We start from the raw sequence: 19139 nt of genomic DNA, 5'->3' as shown, positions 1-19139 counted from the left end.
AACTCTCATACACTGTTGGTGAGAATGTAAATTAGTACTGTCATTACGGAAAAGAATGTGGAGACATCTCAAAAAACTAAAAGTAGAATGGCAGTATGATCCAGCAACCTCATTACTGGCTATTTATCCAAATAAAAGGAAAACAGTCTATCAAAACAATATATGCACCCCCATGTTTATTACAGCACTATTCACAATAGCAAAGATATGGAATCAACCTAAGCATACTTCAGTAGATGAACGGATAACAAAATGTGGTAAATTTACAAAACAGAATACTATCCATCCATTAAAAAAGAATGAAATCGTGTCATTTGCAGCAACATGGGTGGAACTGGAAGTGAAATAAGCCAGACACAGAAAGACAAATAGCACATGTACTCACTCACATGTGGGAGCTAAAAAAGTTAATCTCTCGTGGGTAGAGTAGAATGATAGTTACCAGAGGCTGGGAAGGATGTAGATATGTGTGCAGAGGGAAGGGAGGGGCTGTGAAGGGAGGTTTAATGGGTACAAACATATAATAGATAGAATGAACAAGTGCTAATATTTGATAGTAGAGTAGGGTGCTGTAGTTAACAAAAATGTGTTGTACATTTCAAAATAGCTAGAGGTGAGGACTTAAAATGTTCTCAACACATAGAAATTATCAATGGTTGTGGTGATGGATATCCTAAATACCCTGACCTGATTATTACACATTCCATGCATGCAACAACATACCACATGTACCCCAGTAATATGTACAATATTAAATAATATGTATCAATAAAAAATTTAAAAAAAAAGAACAAAATATATGGACAACAGTTTTCAGTCAGAGGAGACCAGGTGAGCAAGATAATGATCCCTGAGAGAGAGAAAACAAATGAGGAGAACTCTGTGATTGTTCCTAGGTTATTGTCTGGAGAGAACATTCAAGCCACAGAACAAGGAAAGAGAACCTAATCAGAGCCCAACTGAGGCTCCCTTTGTTGAGGAAACACCTGGGGATCCAGGGAGATTGCAGAGGATAGAGTTCACAAGTTAGAGTACCATAAAGGAGAGTGTTTCAGAGAGTAAGACCTCCAGAGATCCAGAGTGTTCTCAAGTGTTCAACTAAATACTAACCGGCACATGCATGTGAAGTAATTGCCGAAGGCTGTGAAAAGAACCACCCAAGGTAAGAAAAATAGAACAATCTCAGGAGCTCACTAGGGGGGAAAATTTTGATTCCACCCTCTAGAGTGGAAAATTTCATAATTCAAGGGGGATCAAGAAAGTATTCAGAAGGGTATTGCCTCAGCAGTGGAGCAAAATTAACTACAAACTGAAGGCTTATTGGTCCTGCTTGACAAAATTTAAAAGCAAGCCTCAATAAGATCATAGGGTTTCCAAGTACCATAGTGTTTCCAAGTACCATAGTGTTTCCAAGGATGATGTGCAGGAAAATAAAAATGTCCAGCAGCCATAAAAATAAAAATTCATAATGTATAGAATCCAACAAAATTACCAGGAATGCAAAAAAGAGAAGATCTATAATGAGAAGCAAAATCAATTATTAAAAACAGATCAAGAAATGACAAAAATAATGGAATTCGTAGACAAGTACATTAAAAGTTATCATAACTATATTTCCTGTATTCAAGGAGACAGAGGAAATACTGAACATGCCTAATAGATACATGGAAGATAAAAAAGAAAAGGTAAATCAAAGTTCTAGAGATGAAAATTACACTGGATGGGATTACCAGCAGATAAGACCACACGGAAGATACAATTATGGACGTGGAAGATATAGTAATATAATCTACATAAAATAAAACAATGAGAGAAAAAAGACTGGAAAAAACAGAGCACCAGTAAACTGAGATTTCAAGTAGACTAATTTACCAATTTGAGTCCCCCAAGGAGAAGGAAAGGAGTCAGAAAAAATATTTGAAGAAATAATGGATAAAAATTTTTGATAAAAATAAGTCCACAAATCCAAGATCAAGAAAACCCAAACATAAGAAATAGAAAGAAAATTAATATCTTAATCAAAGAATAGAAATCAATGTTTAAAAAATCATGACAGAAAAATCACAAAAACAAAGATAAAAACTATATTATATATACAGATATTAAGATAATGACAGCAAACTTCTAGTTGGAAACTACACCAAGTCAAAAGACATCTTTCAAAAACAGAAATTTGCAAATATACAAAGATTAGAGCATTAATCACCAGCAGATCTACAATAGAAGAAATGTTAAGTCTTTCAAACAGAAAATGACACCAGATGGAAATCTATATCTACACAAAATAATGAAGACCACTAAAAATAACAACTACGTGCTTAAATATAAGAAACATATTTTCTTATTTAGCTTTCTTTAAAACAAAACAACAATGCATTATTGGGTTTATAACATACACATAAATAAATGTACGAATATAACACAAAGGCCAAAGGAGAGAAGAAATAAAAAGTATACTACTGTAAGATTCTTATACTATACTTGATACTATAACTTGAAGATAATCTGTGATACATTAATATATATCTGATAAAGTCTAAAGCAATCAATAATAAAACAGAATTATAGCTAATAAACAAAGAGATGAAAAGAAGTCATAAAAATACTTAAATAAAAGTAGAAAAAGAGGCAAAGGGATGGACAAAATGCAAACAGCAAGAGGACAGACTTAAATCCAAACCTATACATTGTCATATTAAATGTAAACCATATTCTTAGCCACTATACCAGTCTGAATAAATTTGGAAGGATCAAATCATACAAAGTATGTTCCTTGTCCACAAAGGAATTAATTCATAAAGATAATGGGAAAGTCTTAGTTTCTGGGAACCAAATACGAAATTTCTAAATAACTCATGGATTGAAACAGAAATCCAAAGAAAGATTAGAATGTATTTTGATCCAGGCTGGGCATGGTGTCTCAAGCCTATAATCCCAGCACTTTGGGAGGCTGAGGCAGGTGGATCACTTGAGGTCAGGAGTTCGAGACCAGTCTGGCCAACATGGTGAAACCCCAACTCTACTAAAAATATTTTTAAAACTTAGCCAGGCGTGGTGGGAGGCACCTGTAATCCCAGCTACTTAAGAGGCTGAGGCAGGAGAATCACTTGAACCCGGGAGGCAGAGGTTGCAGTGAGCCAACATCACACCACTGCACTCCAGTCTGCGCAACAGAGCTAGACACTGTCTCAAAAAAAAAAAGTATTTTGATGTGAATAAAAATGAAAACATAATATTTCAAAATTTGTAAGATACAGCAAAAACAGCAGTTAGTAGAGAATTTATAGCCCTAAAATGCCTATATTAGTAAAGAAGAATGGTTTCAAACCAATGACCTTACCTCTTAAAAAAACTAGAAAACGCAGAGGAAATTAAATGCAAAATAAGCAGACAAAAGAAAATAATAAATAGAAAAGCAGAATTCAATGCAATTTTTAAAAATATAAAAATAAAAGACTTGTGAAACTAAAAGATAATTCTGTAAGAACATAAATAAAATTGATATTGCTGTATCAGAAGTCAGAAAAAAATAGAGAATAAGAGAAAAATAATCTCATTAATGAGAGAGAAAGTGCTACAGATGGTAAAGATTTCAAACAATAAGAGAAAGTTATGAATAACTTTATGTCAATAAATTCTACAAGGTAGACAAAATAAATACATTCTTTGTAAGACACAAACTACCAAAGCTCACTCAAGAACAAATAATCTGATTGACTAGCCCTGTGTTCAGTAAAAACTTAAAACTGTAATAAAAATACTTCCCACAAAAGAGAACACCAGTACTCACATGGCTTCACTGATTAACTTTATGATTTAAGTTAGAAATTACAATCATGTATCACTTTACAACAAGAATACATTTTGATAAATGTGTCATTAGGCAATTTTGTCATTGTGGGAACATCATAGGGTGTACTTACACAAACCTAGATGGGACAGCCTACTACACACCGAGGCTATATAGTATGGCCTATTGCTCCTAGGCTACAAACCTGTACAGTATTGCCTACAGTACAATTGCCTATAGCACAATATTGTAGGCAAGTGTAACACAATGATATTTGTGTATCTAAACATAGAAAAGGTATAGGAAAAAAATACAGCATAAAAATTTTTTTAAAGGCACATCTGCAAAGGACACGTAGCATGAATGGAGCTTGCAGGATGAAAGTTGTTTTGGGTAAGTCAGTGAGTGGGGAGTGAATGTGAAGGCCTAGAACATTACTATACACTACTGTAGACTATAAACACTCTACACTTACGCTTCACTAAATTTATTTTTAAAAATTTCTTTCATCAATAAATTAACCTTATCTTACTGTAGCTTTATAAATGTTTTAATTTTTTAAACTTTTTGACTCTATTGTAATAACTTAGCTTAAAACAAATACATTGTACAGCTGTAAAAAAATTTTTCTTTACAGCCTTATTCTATAAGCTTTTTTCTATTTTTAAATTTTTTTAAATGTTTTCCTTACTTTTAACCTTTTTTGTTAAAAACTAGGACATAAACATACATTAGCCTAGGTCCACACAGGGTCAGGATCATCAATCTCACTGTCTTTCACTTCCCCATCTTGTCCCACTGGAAGGTCTTCAGGGGCAGTGATTCACAGGGAACTGTCATTTCTTATGATAACAATGCCTTCTTCTGGAATACCTCCTGAAAGGCCCTGCCTGAGCCTGTTTTACAATTAACTTTTTTTCTAATAAGTAGAAAGAGCACACTCTAAAATAACAATAAATAGTATAATAAATACATAAACCATTAACAAGTCATTTATTATCATTATCAATTATTATGTATTATACATAATTGTATATGCTATGCTTTCATATGACTGGCAGGTTTGTTAATACTAGCATCACACAAACACATGAGGAATGAGCTGTGCTACTATATTACAATAGCTACGATGTCACTAGATGGTAGGAATTTTTCAGCTCCATTATAATATTATGGGACCACCATCATATATGCCATTCATTGTTGACTGAAACATTGTTATGCAGCACATAACTGTATATGCTTTCTATACAAACTCTTCCAGAAAATTAAACATGATGGAATACTTCCCAGCTCATTCTATGACACTGACATTATGCTGGTCAAAACCAGACTAAGATATTACAAGAAAAGAAACCTACAAAATAATATTCCTCATGAAGACTGACACAAGATTTCCTAACAAAATTTTACCAAATCAAAGTCAAGAATACATAACAAGAATAACATATTGTGACAGGTGGGATTTATCCCAGGAATACAAGGTTGGTTTAACATTAGAAAAAGAAGAAAAAAAAAACCTGATGTGGGGCAGGACCTTCTGGGATGATAGAGTGAGCAATTTGGCAAATACTCTCCCCCAAAATGCAATGTTAAAACCAGACAAAATGTGCAAAAACAACCATTTCAGAATGTGTGAAGTAACCAAAGGCACACGATAAACTGAGAAGCAGTACTTCAAGAAAACTACTGAGCCTTAGTAGAAATAGTAGGTGTCCATACAGTTATAGCCTGGAGCTATCCCTTCCCTCCACCCCTAGATCCATGAGTGGTAGCTCTACCAAGGTTGGAGAGCCCCGTAATGGAAGGGCATCAAAAACAATCATATTTTCAGTGGCAAACCATCAGGGAAGTCCAACACTGCAGCTCCCTGAGACTGTAATATTTGAAAGCAGGCAAAAACCATTAAGAAATTTCATAGAGAAATCAGGAAAACAAATAGTCATAATGAGCTTTGATAAACTCCCAGACCTGAGGTCATCTAGGAGGATGCATACATGTGTAAGGCTGTGTGTACACTCAGGAGAGACCAGAGGGCCTCAGGTATCTACTCATCCTTGGCTGAATGTGAGGTGTTGCATACAAGAGGAAGCCTTATTAGGTCTAGCTGTTTAAACACAACTTCTGACCAATCATTAGTTGACATCTAAGCAGTACTACAAGAGAAAGATATAAAATCAGCAGGTTAAGCTACCACTTTAAGAAACTAGAAAAAGACGGGCAACCTAAATCCAAGGCAAGCAGAAAAAGAAAATTATAAACATTAGTGTAGAACTTAAAAAATGGAAAATAGAAAAACAATTGAGAAAATTGATTAAACCAAAACTCAGTTGTTTAAAAAGACCTACAAAATTGAAAAATCTTCAGCTACACTAAACATGAAAAAAAGAGAGAGAATGCATATCTAGAATTAAAGAAGTGATATAAACACCAATCTTACAGAAACTAAAAGGATTTCAAGGGTATACTATAAACAACTTCATGCCAACAAATCATGCAACTTAGATGAAATGGACAAATTCCTAGTAAAACACAAATTACCACAATTGACTCAAGAACAAACTAGACAATCTGAACAGACCATAACAAGAAAATGAATTAGTAATTAAGTGTTCTCACTAAAAAAAAGTCCATGTGCAGATGCCTTCACTGGTGAATTCTAAGAAAAACTTAGAAAAGAAATAATACCAACCCTCCACAAATTCTTACATAAAACAGGGGGAAACACTTTCAACTTTTTCTATGAGGCCAGTATTACCCTGATACCAAAGCCGAACAATCACGAAGAAATAAAAAATTCAGACAAATATTCTTCATAAATATAGACACAAAAACCATCAATAAAATATTAGCAAACCAAATCCAACAACTTATGGAGAGGATTATACACCAAGCAGTTTTTTTTTTTTTTAAGACAGAGTCTCACTTTGTCTCCCAGGCTGGAGTGCACTGGCACGATCTCGGCTCACTGCAAGCTCCGCCTGCCGGGTTCACACCATTCTCCTGCCTCAGGCTCCCGAGTAGCTGGGACTACAGGCGCCCGCCACCACACCGGACTAATTTTTTTGTATTTTTAGTAGAGACGGGGTTTCACTGTGTTAGTCAGGATGATCTCGATCTCCTGACCTCGTGATCCGCCCACCTTGGCCTCCCAAAGTGCTGGGATTACAGGCGTGAGCCACCACGCCCGGCCTACACCAAGCAGTTTTCATCCCATCAATACAAGGTGGTTTGACACCTGAAAATAAATTGTTATATATTAACAGGTTAAAGGAAAAAAAAACAACATCATAATTTCAAGAGACATGGAAGGAGCACTTGACAAAATTCATGATAAAAACTCTCAATGCTCTAGAAACAGAAGAGAACTTTCACAACCTGATAAAGGACACTTACAAAAACACCTATAGCTAACATCATACTTAAAAAAAACAACATCATAATTTCAAGACACATGGAAGGAGCACTTGACAAAACTCATGATAAAAACTCTCAATGCTCTAGAAACAGAAGAGAACTTTCACAACCTGATAAAGGACACTTACAAAAACACCTATAGCTAACATCATACTTTAAAAAAATCATAATTTCAAGAGACATGGAAGGAGCACTTGACAAAATTCATGATAAAAAGTCTCAATGCTCTAGAAACAGAAGAGAACTTTCACAACCTGTTAAAGGACACTTACAAAAACACCTATAGCTAACATCATACTTACTGGTGAAAGACTGAATGCTTTTTCCCTAAAACTGAGAACAATAGGCACATCTGCTCTTGCCACTGCTATTCAGCATTGTACTGGAGGCTCTAGTTAGCAAAGTTAAGCAAGAAAGGGAAGTAAAAATTGCTCCCTGGCCTTTTGGCTAAGATCACATTCACAATGCAAAAAAAAAAGAAGAAGAAGAGGAAGAAGAAGAGGAAGAAAAAGAAGAAGAAGAAAGAAGAAGAAGAAGAAGAAAAAGAAGAAGAAGAAGAAGAAGAAGAAGAAGAAGAAGAAGAAGAAGACATCCAGATTGAAAAGAGAGAGGTAAAAATATACTTACTATGGACAATGTATTCCAACATGATTTAAAAAAACCCCTACTCAACTATTACTAGAATAATAAAATTGTCAAAGTCAAAAGATGTAAGATTCATATACAAAAATTAATCGTATTTCTATACACTACCGAGGAATAATCCAAAAATGAAATTGGGAAAGTAATTCCATTTACGAAAGCATAAAAAGAATAAAATACTAGGAAGAAAGAAACAAGGCTTATAGCCTGAAAACCATAATATATTATTGAAGAAATTAAAGAAGATGAAAGAAGAAAAACATTTTATGCTTGTGGACTGTCAAAGTCACTATTGTTAAGATGGCAATTCTATCAAAATTAATCTATAAATTCAACATAATCTCTTAAAATCCAAATAGATTTGGTTTCTGGTTTTTGATTGTGCTGCAGAAACTGACCATCAGATCCTAAAATTTATATGGAATTGCAAAGGATTAAGAAGAGCCAAAACACTTTTGAAAAAAAAATGTTGGACTAATACACTTCTTTGATCTCAAAACTAACAATAAAGCTACAGTAACCAAGACAGTTTGGTACTAACATAATCAACAGAACAGAACTGAGATTCCAGAAAAAAATCCTTATATTTACAGTCAATTGATTTCTGACAAAGGTGCCAAAGCAATTAAGCAAGGAAAAAATATTCTTTTCCACAAATGTAAATAATGGATTCAGACCCTTACCACACCCAACACATAAAAATTAACTCAAAATGAATCATAGACCTACATGTAAGATCTAAAAGTATAAAACAGAAGAAAATCTTCATGACCTTGGGTTAAGCAAAGATTTGTTGGTTTTGACACCATAAGCACAATAAATGAAAAAATTAATGTCGGACTTCATCAAATTAAACCTTTTGCACTTCAAAAAGGTACCAGTAATAAAATGAAAAGGGTAAACATTTCACCAGAGTCACACATGGCTAATATGCACATGAAAAGATGCCAAAATCATTAGTCATTAGAGAAATGCAAATTAAAAACATGAGATACTACTACACACTGACTAGAATGGGTTAAATTTTAAAAGACTGACTGTACCAAGTGTTGACAAGGATGCGCTGCAATGTTCATACATTGTTAATGGGAATATAAAATGATACAAATACCACTGGAAAATAGTTCGGTAGTTTTTTTAAACTTAAACATACACCTAACAAATGATCCAGTCATTCCACTTGCACCCAGGAGAAATGAAGTATATGTCAAAACAAAGACTTATACATGAACTGTCACAGCAGGTATATTTGGAATAGGCAAAAACTCGGGGGAAACACCAAATGCCCATGAACAGGTAAATGAATACGTTGTGCTATGTCCATACAATGAAATACTACCCTGCAATAAAAAGGAATGAACTATAGATACGGGCAACAACCAACATAGATGAATTTCAAAATAATTACACTGAGTGAAAGAGGTCAAACAACAAAAAAGAACACACTATATGATGTCTTATTTAAAATTATAGAAAATATGGGCTAATACAGAGCAACACAAAGCAGATCAGTGGTTGCTTTGGGATAGGTACAAGGGATGTGAAGCAATAGGGAGAAGGGATTACCAAGGTACCCAAATAAACTACTGGGGATAATAAATGTGTTCATGTGTCATTATCTTTGACATTGTCAAAATTTATCAAAGTGCATAAATTCATTATCATAGTTAAATAAGTTTAGTTTATTTTATGTCATTTAATAAAACTGGTTTTAAAAAATGTATCTCAGAACAAAAAAGAACTGTTACCTGGCATTACAACTCTCCAGGCAAGAAAGAATGATGTCATAGACTGGGATGGAACCCATACAAACAGAAATGTAAGTAGATAATTTTAAACTTTATTAAAATACAGAATTGACAACTTTTTTGGTGAAATGGACATTGAGAGTTGAAGGAAAGGAAGGAATCAAGTACAACTTTTATTTTGGCTTTAGCAACTCAGTGAATAGTGGTGCCATTTACCAAAATAAGGAAACTAGGATAGTATGACAGAGTCAAGGTTTCTCATCACATCACCAGGAGTGGGTCAAACTGGTTTTACAAGCTTAATAGATTTTAAAACAACAAACTAGGATTCACAGAATTCCCTATTACCCACAGTTTCACTTTCTGCAGTTTCTGCTTTCCATGGTCGGTCTATAACCCACAGTCAACCGCAGTCCAAAAATAGGTAAGTACAGTATATATAGTAAGATACTTTGAGACCAAGAGACTACATTCTTATAACTTTTAACAGTATATCATTATAATTGTTCTATTCTATTATTAGTTATTGTTGTTAATCTATTACTGTCCCTAACATAAATTAAACTTTACCATAGATGTATGCATACAAAAAAACATAGCATATATAGGGTTTGGCACTGTCTGCAATTTCAGGATTCCACTGGGGGTTTTGGAACATATCCCCTGTGGATAAGGTGGCACTACTGTACTGTATATATAGACATCTAGAAAATGAAAGTGGGATTCTATTCAACTACCACAAATGTGAAAAAGAAATCACTATTTTTGCAGAAAAAGAAAACAGTAATTCATGGAGATTGTAAAATGTGCAAAATACCTCTGTCCAAAATAATTTTAAAACTAAATAAATGACTCTGGGAGGCTAAGGTGGGCAGATCACTTGAGGCCAGAAGATTGAGACCAGCCTGGCCAACAAGGTGAAACCCCATCTCTACTAAAAATTCAAAAATTAGCCAATTGGCTGTGGTGGCACACACCTGTAATCCCAGCCTCTTGGGTGCTAAGGCACGAGAATCACTTGAACTCAGGAGGCAGAGGTTGCAGCGAGCTAAGATAATTGTACCACTGCACTCCAGCCTGGGTGAAAGAGCGAGACTTCTTTTCAAAAAATAAAAAATAAACTTAAATAAATGAAAGGTAGATGTTCATGTTATAAAATAATTACTTACACTATTTTAATTAAATAATACATTTTACTTTTTGAATTTTTTTCTAGAAGTATTACTTAGGACTGTTTATATTTTTAACTAAAAATATTTGTGTCCATTAAAATCAAATTTCTAAGTGAAAGTACAGAATGCTACAGCTTCTTTATTTCCTTCAGCATCTTTGCTTACCTGTTTAATCTTTCAAATAATGTCCCAAATCGTGTAGTTTTATGTGATGGACTGAAAACATCTTGACTTTTATTTAATTTGGAAAGCAAGGAATCAGAACAGTTAACAGTACTGCGCTGAAAAAAAAAATTTGAAGAAACTGCCAAAATAGTAAATGTACATATATACAATTTAAATTATTTACCATAAAATGTCATGTAAATGAACTACATTTATATTTTAAAATTGTAAAAATAGTCCAAAATAAAGTAATTTTACTACTTATTGAAAACAAAATAAATAGTTTCCTAACAAAAAAATCAATACCAGTATCTGAATAATTGTTAAAATAACAGAGTTGATATGATGGTAAGCTAACCATTTTCTCCAAGTTAAAAATAAAAAATAAAAAAACAAAAAAACACCCAGGACACCAAGATCTTGAATAATTGTAAGTTAAATTTCTCTGACAGAAAACAATAATTTGTCCCAATAAAAGAGCTATACTTGTCTCAGTTGTTCCATTTACTGAGTAACTTTAGATTGCTACTTTAATTTTTCTGAATATCAATATTATTCAGTTCAAAAGGGAGAGTGAAAAGACTATTGTGAAAAGAAGATAATCAATTTGTTAATGTGGAAAGTACCCTATAAATGTAACTTATTATATTGGCCCAACACTAATCTATTCAACAATAATTTATATCTGTCATACATTTGATTTATAACTCATGAAACATAGAAATGAGAAGTCCAAACACAACCAATGACAGAATTGTCAGAAAAAAAAAAAAAAGGAGAGTCAAAAAGAGACACTGAAAGTCTTTGGGGAAAAAAAATAGACTAAAGTCAGAGAGAGCTTATACTAATGTCTCAGCTAACTAATACATCTAAGAGAGAGTGACAGAGGTGCAAAACTTTATCCCTTAAAATAAGAAACAAATCAAAAGAGAAGAGAATATAATATTATATATTCGACAATACTACTTAACTAAGGATCAGGAAACCCCAAGTCACTTTTTGTTCTAACTTGTTTTTCAACTCATTTTCTTTTGTATTTTATAATTTCATTTTAATCATTTTCACTTTTTTTGAAATTCCTCCAAGTACGCTATTAAATACTTCCCTAGTATTTCATGATGTGACACTATGATTGAAAAGGGACATTATCTATTTTTCAGTCTTTTACCATGTTAAGCATAAAATTATTTACCTCTCTGGAGCTCATCATTAACCTGCAGTCTATAATATGTACAGACAAGAAAGTTAAATAGAGATTACACAGATGTTTTATCCTCTATCCTTAAACTATTTAATAGAGCAAGGATGAGTTATAAGCTGATCTAGAATGTAGGTTTTTGTCTTACGAAATATAAACTGAATGGGTAATTGAAAATGTCTTTCATTGCATCATTCAAAAATTATTGGGCCTTTATAACAAGGCTAGCATGGGTCACAGGAATGTAATACTTCATTTTCTCTTATCTGGGAAGTCTTTAATAAAAATTTTAATAAAATGGAATTATATATAACTATCATATGGCATATATATAACTGATATGCTATAATATATAGCTATAATATAATTTCTAAAATTTAAAACTATAAATTAATTATAAACTGATTTATAAATAATATATAAATATGTCATAAAACCACTGCATGCTAAAAATAAGATAAATTCAAAACTAAGTATTCCCATTAACAAGACATAGTGTTTGTATAAGCATTCTCCTCATTACCATTAGACATTAGTATAGTAACATTTAATTAAATTTCATTTTTAGTAGATTTCCTGGTATGCTCTATGACTGATGTATTTTAGAATCTTAATATTTATATATTTTATATTTTTAGCTTTAGAGCACACAATGATTGAACAACATTTTAGCACTACATCTCTATATATTTGTATAGTGTTAATTGAAAAACTTAAAATAAAAACTTGTCATCTTTCAAATTATAAAAATTATCAAGCCATCACTTTAAGAGACTACTACGACATCTCTGAAACTGTATATTGCTATTCACAGGACACTTTCTATATCATGCATATTGGGTCATCATGACATCACCAACTAATCAATTACAGTGATTATAAACTTCAACTACTATATAACACACTGAACTACTTTCAATTCTACTATCAATGGTTTTCTAAGAGAATGATACATTCCAAGATTTTTTTTAAAAAACACTCCAGTTCTGGGATTCACAATCTTCTACAGTGCAAAGAATTAAGTTTTTGATGTAAAGGGAATGAACCTTAATTTATCTCCTAATTTGTTTATATGTATAGCAATTCAAAATGTAAATATTTTAAATCTATAAAAAGAAAAAAAGAGTTTCATGAAAATATAATTATATAAAATGCTAAGAACTAATGATTCAAAGGTACCTGGTCATTCTGCTTTTTTTCATATGCAAGTTTCTGAGGAGTAGGTGCTATTCCAGATGTGAAATTTAGTTTTGAAATATGTCTGTTAGAAGGTAACTCCACTGAAAAAGATGATGGAGTGAAACTGCAGTTCTCTATTTTGCTGAACTGAGGGTGAAGCATACTATATGAGTCCATGCCTTGTGACTATAGGAAAGAAGATAAAATCATTTACATTACCAAAATATATAAACTAGAGAAGAGGAAAGTCAAAATAGTGAAATTAAAATAAGTGAAAAGGGCAGGGGTTACAAAAGAAAATGTCCTAAGGCAAGGCAACCCATCAGTAATTGACAGAACTTACTAGGAAGAGAGTGGTTACCAGTGAAGGCTATACTGAAGAGCACCCTTCCCTCTGCCTTCCCTACTCCTGCTTCTCTCCATCCTCCAGCTCCATTCCTGTAGGCTACCTTCTAAAGACAGGAAATCTGAGTTTCATTAACCCATAATCCAGGTGATAAGATTTCTAAGGGATTTTAGTATCATTGCCATTATCTTTCTGATCTAGCTTAACTCTGGCAATTCAAAGGAAAAAAATGATAGCTAACAATATGACATTAGATGTTAAAGTTTCAAGCTTTAATTATAATCTATGCATTTTCTAATTGATTAAAATTTTATTTGCTAAGAAAATTATTTGCTATACTTTGAAAGAGAAATCATCTTGGGATCCACGTGAGGGTTGGACATCACAATTTGATATAAAGTAATCTGGTTACTATGTTTGAACAGATGAATTGCTCAATAATCACGTGAACCCAAAGTAAGAATCCCTAAGTGAACTGTCCTTGGCAGCTCATCAGTAACAAGCAGAATCAAATGTTATGCAAACATAGGCCTAGTCACATTACCAGCAGTCCAAAGAGATTCTCATAAGCAATCAATTAAAATATTCTTAAGGCATAGATTTCTCACCTGGAAAGCTTTTAAAAGAATTAAAGACTCAAAATTTTCTTTAAAATAATTTTCTCCAGTATTCAGACATTTAGATCATTAGGTAGCATATCACAATTGCTGAAATAACCTATAGAATTTTTTTAAAAATCTCACCTGGACTGGGCCAAGATCTTCCTTGCTACTTAGTCTTTGACAGTTTACACTAATGAAAAGAAAAATTTAGGTTAAAAATATAAATTGAAATAAAATCGACTGTCCTTTCCTATATTTAAAATTCATACTGTTCTACACAAAACATATAGAAACCTAAGTAAATCACTACAGGGTCATAATATTACTAAGTTTTATAAAAATTATATTAATACTAGATACAGACATTTTTATGATAAGGTAAGTCAAACAAAGTGTACAAAATCTGGATCATTTGATGAAGGTCTTAATCATTGCATAATACTGTTAACAGCCAAACAAACAAAAACTGGGGGTAGAAGGTAAGTATTTTATACATTTTCGAGTGAGTAAAAGTGTTGTTAATAACCAGTTTAAACACCTAATAATATAAATCCTAGCTAAAACCTACTTGGTTTCTGTATCATCAAGGCAGAGTTTAGAAGGTACACAGTGAGGCGACATTGTAAGTTCTAAATTATGCTTTCTTAGGGGCATTTTTATGTCTCTATTCATGTTCACATGGGTTGGTTTTCTCACAGTTTCTATAATAAAAAATATATAATTATAATTTTAAAATAAGAATAAAAAATTGTAAAAGTACTGTTTAATAAATCATGTTCATTACATAAACATATATCTAAGAAATTTTACTAAAACATTTACATTCTATCAGTGCTAAAATAAATCATTACAATATAAACAACTATCAGAGACTTTAAAACATATTCATCATCTTATATATTCCTCATTATAGCTGCCCTATTAATTTAGTTCTACTTTTTCTTCCACCAAGATTTCTATGATCTCCAGACTAGATTAGTTACTATGTTATATATTCCCACAGTACTATATATATTTTCCCTTTCTCTGGTCAGTACTTTCACCTACTCTATTTTTGTGATACACCCACCCAAACTATATACATAGTTATAGTGTAGATTTTATATCTTCTTATAAAACTCTGCCTCAAGCCAGGCATAGTGGCTCATGCCTGTAATCCCAGTTACTAAGGAGGCTGCAGTTGGAGGATGGCTTGAGGCCAAGAGTTCAAGACCAGCTTGGGCAACACAGTGAAACCCTGTCTTTAAAAACAAAACAAAATAAAAGTCTTGTCTCTCTGGATAAAATAATTGATTTGGCAGTAGCCATCTGACTAAAGGTGAACCAATAATCGTATCCCATTCTGCTAGTTATAAGCAAAATTTTTTCACTGTGAGATTGGTACCAGTAGCACAAGGAAATATTCTTACAGTGGAATTTTAAAATGTGGGACCAGAGAAACAACTCTCAGTATTTCCTTGGTGGCAAAACTAGAGAAGGTGAGTAATATTAGTTTCTTAAGGCCATGTTTTGAGCCTCAATGATGAAGACAGTCTGAGAGAATAAAGTTAATGACTGAAGTGAAAAAGAATCTTGATAGTATTCAAGTCCCTGTTTCAAGTCATCTCTGAGGCCCACTGCACCATCACTCTTCCTGTTAAAGGAGTAAAAAGATAACTGTTTTGAATTTCTGTCATTTGCAGCCATGAGTCCTGATTAGTAAAGCTTGCTTTCTGTTTTATCCTCAGCACCCAGTAGAGTACTTACAGTGGGTACCCAATAAAAATATGCTGAAGAAATAAATGAAAAGAAAGTGCAGGAGTTCAGGCCATTATCCCAAAATAAGTCATCTTGCTATTTAAGAAAACAGCAGAAGCAGGAAGGTTACTCTCAGCTTTCCCCTGAAGCAGGTCATAAAACCCTCATTCGAGAAGTGCTCTGGTTATACTTGGAAGAAAATAATATCCCTATCTCTGAAGACGCAGGGTCACAAAGAAGAATCTGAACAAAGAGGCCTTGCTAAGATCCCCTTAGTTTATTACTATTAGATCATTCTTTTAAAAATCCAATCATACTTCTTGAGGACCATCCACTTTTTCATCAAACCTGGCAAGAAAAATACACAAGTTTAGCCATTTCTTCCAATCTTAAGATCTTAAATTTCTTATCAAGGCTCTTGTGTCACATAAAACTTACTAAATAAATCTGTATGTTTTTCTCCTGTTAATCTGTCTTTTGTTATTGAGGGTTTAGCCATAAACCTAGCAATGGATGAGGAAATATATTTTTATTCCCCTACGACTGGGAATAAAGGTAAATACATCAAAAAGATTTACAACAATAAGTTTTATTCTCAAAATCCATGAACAATGTATTTATTCTTTCTAAAGTATAACTAAATTTACTTGTGTAAACTGTTATCTGTGGAGGGAGAAAAAAAATGACGGAGAAAGGAAATGAGGAAATATTAACAATACTCTGATCAATTTCTATCCCTTCCTGATAAATTGTCTTATTTTTATGCTCTCATTTTTAGCAGTTGTTTTAAAAATTAAATATCAGACACAAGTTCCTCTAAAAGAGGAAAAATATACTCTAATTAAGCTTTTTATTTACTTGAAGTATCAAAATATATGACAAAATGGACTTTATTTTGCAGTATTAGACTTCTATGATTAACATCCCAGGAAAGTGTAATAAATAATTCAAGTGATGACATAGGAAACTAGTCATTGAAGCAAAAATCTTTGCAGATCTTCCTTTCAGACATACCCTTTAAATAGTAAAGAATAGTTAATTTGTTGATATGTATTAACATTTATTCCCTGCTCTCTAGCTAAACTTTGGTAACTACCTGCCTGTATAGAATAATGTAACAACTGTACTATAATAAGTTTAGTGACACCTAATAAATTAATTTTATATAACACATACACAAAATAAAAATAAAAATTGGATTAAGCAACAAAACGTTTTAAGCAGATATTAACTAGGCATCTAATTTAAGAGAGCAACCAAATTTTAAAATTAATTTTCCACATGCTTTGAGCTCAAAAATTACAAACTAATTAGAAGACTAAACATTATTATGATCACATCAAGTTCAAAACAGAATGCAATTGGAATGACTTACCAGGAATTTTCTTCTTGCAAGATATCTGATTTACCATATATAGGTTAAGAATGTCTAAGCTGACAGCAGAATTTTTGACAGGAGATAAAACTCCCAGTGATTTCATTTTTGATTTTAACCTGTGTTTTTCAAAATATTCCTAAAATAATTAAAAATTAAAAACAATGCAGCAAATATGCGGTTTTAGACAGAATTATAAATAATAAAAAAGCAATCATGTTATTAAGTCATTGACTTGATACTTTTATATTTTGTGACATCTTTATATGTTTATAAATACATTACAATTAATCATAACTTGCAGTTTGCCTAAAGACTAAATTTCACAGCCTTTTATCATCTTCCTTAAGCATAACCTTTAAAACAGAATGCTATAAAGCTATTCTCTGAAATCAAAAGATTAGAAATTATCTCTATATAGAAAGTTAAAAAAATCTGGTAACAGAACAATTCTGACAGGCTAAAATCTTGTTCTTGTTTTTCTACAAAGTATGCTATTCTGCAGACATAGAAAACCTTAAAAATATGCACAGCTGAGTGCCATTAAAAGTCAACAGAAATGAAGAAAAAAAAAGCTATGTGCAAATTAATCTGCAACCAAAGCCAATTTCGTTTATTTGTTATCCCTCCATGATTCCCAGATGTTTGTTTTTTTAACAAGACTTGCACATAATTATCACTTTATCCAGTTTTTATTTTCTTTCTGTTTGAACTGTTATTATTCTTTCTTATTGCCATTCTTTTTCTTTCAGGTTACATCATTAATTCATTTAAATAAAAATTAACTAATATTTATTTATCAAGCAACTATTATGTGCTAGGTTGTGAAAACATCTTCTCTTCCATTAAATAACTCATAATATAATGCTATGAATGTAAATATAAATGCGAAATTGTCAGAAATGAGAAAAAGCCAAGATGGCAAAATATTTAGTGCAAGAGGTCATAATTTGAAGAGGTTACATATCATATTTATTTTCAAGAAGTTGAGGCTCTTTCACATTAACATTTCAGAATATTGTTAATTATAACTTTTAAGTTTGTAAAAATCTTGTAAGAACTATAACAGACTTGCCAATGATCACACACAAAAAAGTAAATGTCTTGTTTTACAAAATAAATAACAGATAAAAGGTATTTGTTCATATTTCATTTGAGTGATCTGGAACTCCAAATTAGACTAAAATGTATTTTTAAAGACCATACTATGGTTAAGCAATGAAATAACAGGATCTTCAGGATGTAAATAGTTTTCCACCTTGAAACAACAACTCAGTCAATGCTAGATCTTATAATTGATTGTGTCCTGGAATTAAGAAGTTGTTAGTTCATCTGTACAAAGTACAAAGGCACTGTACTTTGTGATGGATAAGACCATAGTGAGGGAGATGATGACACAAATAAATGCAACTGAGTGTGATTGGGGATGGTATCAAATCCTAGGAAAGGTATGGAAATTATTGTTTGGGGATAGGGTGGGTACAGGGAAGGGAGGAGGACATGGAAGACTTCTTTGGAAATGAGTTCTAAGATAGATGGATGAGTCAGAGCTATCCAAAGAGGGTAGGAATATAAGGTTCCAGGAATAAGGAAGAACAATACAAAGACTGTCAAAGGGACTAAGCCTTTATTCCAGGAAACATGTTGAAGAAGTTTGTCCCATATTATCCAGCCATCATAATAGCCTCTAATATCTGTTCCAAGAAAGAACAGAAGTATGTAACTAACTGATTAACTTGACAAGACTAAGCTCAATTTTTTTGTCAAG

At 32.5% G+C, this 19139-nt stretch overlaps 1 protein-coding gene across 5 annotated transcripts in view; it reads right to left on the bottom strand.

Annotated features, from left to right (window-relative positions):
• Positions 1–19139, bottom strand: part of REDIC1 (regulator of DNA class I crossover intermediates 1) — a 282118-nt gene that overhangs the window by 247012 nt on the left and 15967 nt on the right. For 2 of the 5 annotated variants that reach the window (NM_001031748.4, NM_001319247.2), the window contains exons 3-7: positions 17372–17510; positions 14828–14960; positions 14401–14449; positions 13312–13497; positions 10935–11050 (exon numbers count right to left, since the gene is read on the bottom strand). In NM_001031748.4, coding sequence (NP_001026918.2) covers positions 10935–11050; positions 13312–13497; positions 14401–14449; positions 14828–14960; positions 17372–17510 — 623 coding nt within the window. Of the gene's footprint in view, positions 1–10934; positions 11051–13311; positions 13498–14400; positions 14450–14827; positions 14961–16005; positions 16345–17371; positions 17511–19139 lie in introns of those variants that run through there. The other 3 variants (NR_135051.2, XM_005268806.4, XM_011538231.3) reach the window with 2 other exon arrangements.

The sequence above is a fragment of the Homo sapiens genome, chromosome 12 (assembly GCF_000001405.40).
Source record: "Homo sapiens chromosome 12, GRCh38.p14 Primary Assembly".
NCBI classification, from domain to species: domain Eukaryota; kingdom Metazoa; phylum Chordata; class Mammalia; order Primates; family Hominidae; genus Homo; species Homo sapiens.
The sequence above is the reverse complement of the archived record's forward strand: the minus strand, read 5'-3'. Positions and strand labels throughout refer to the sequence as shown.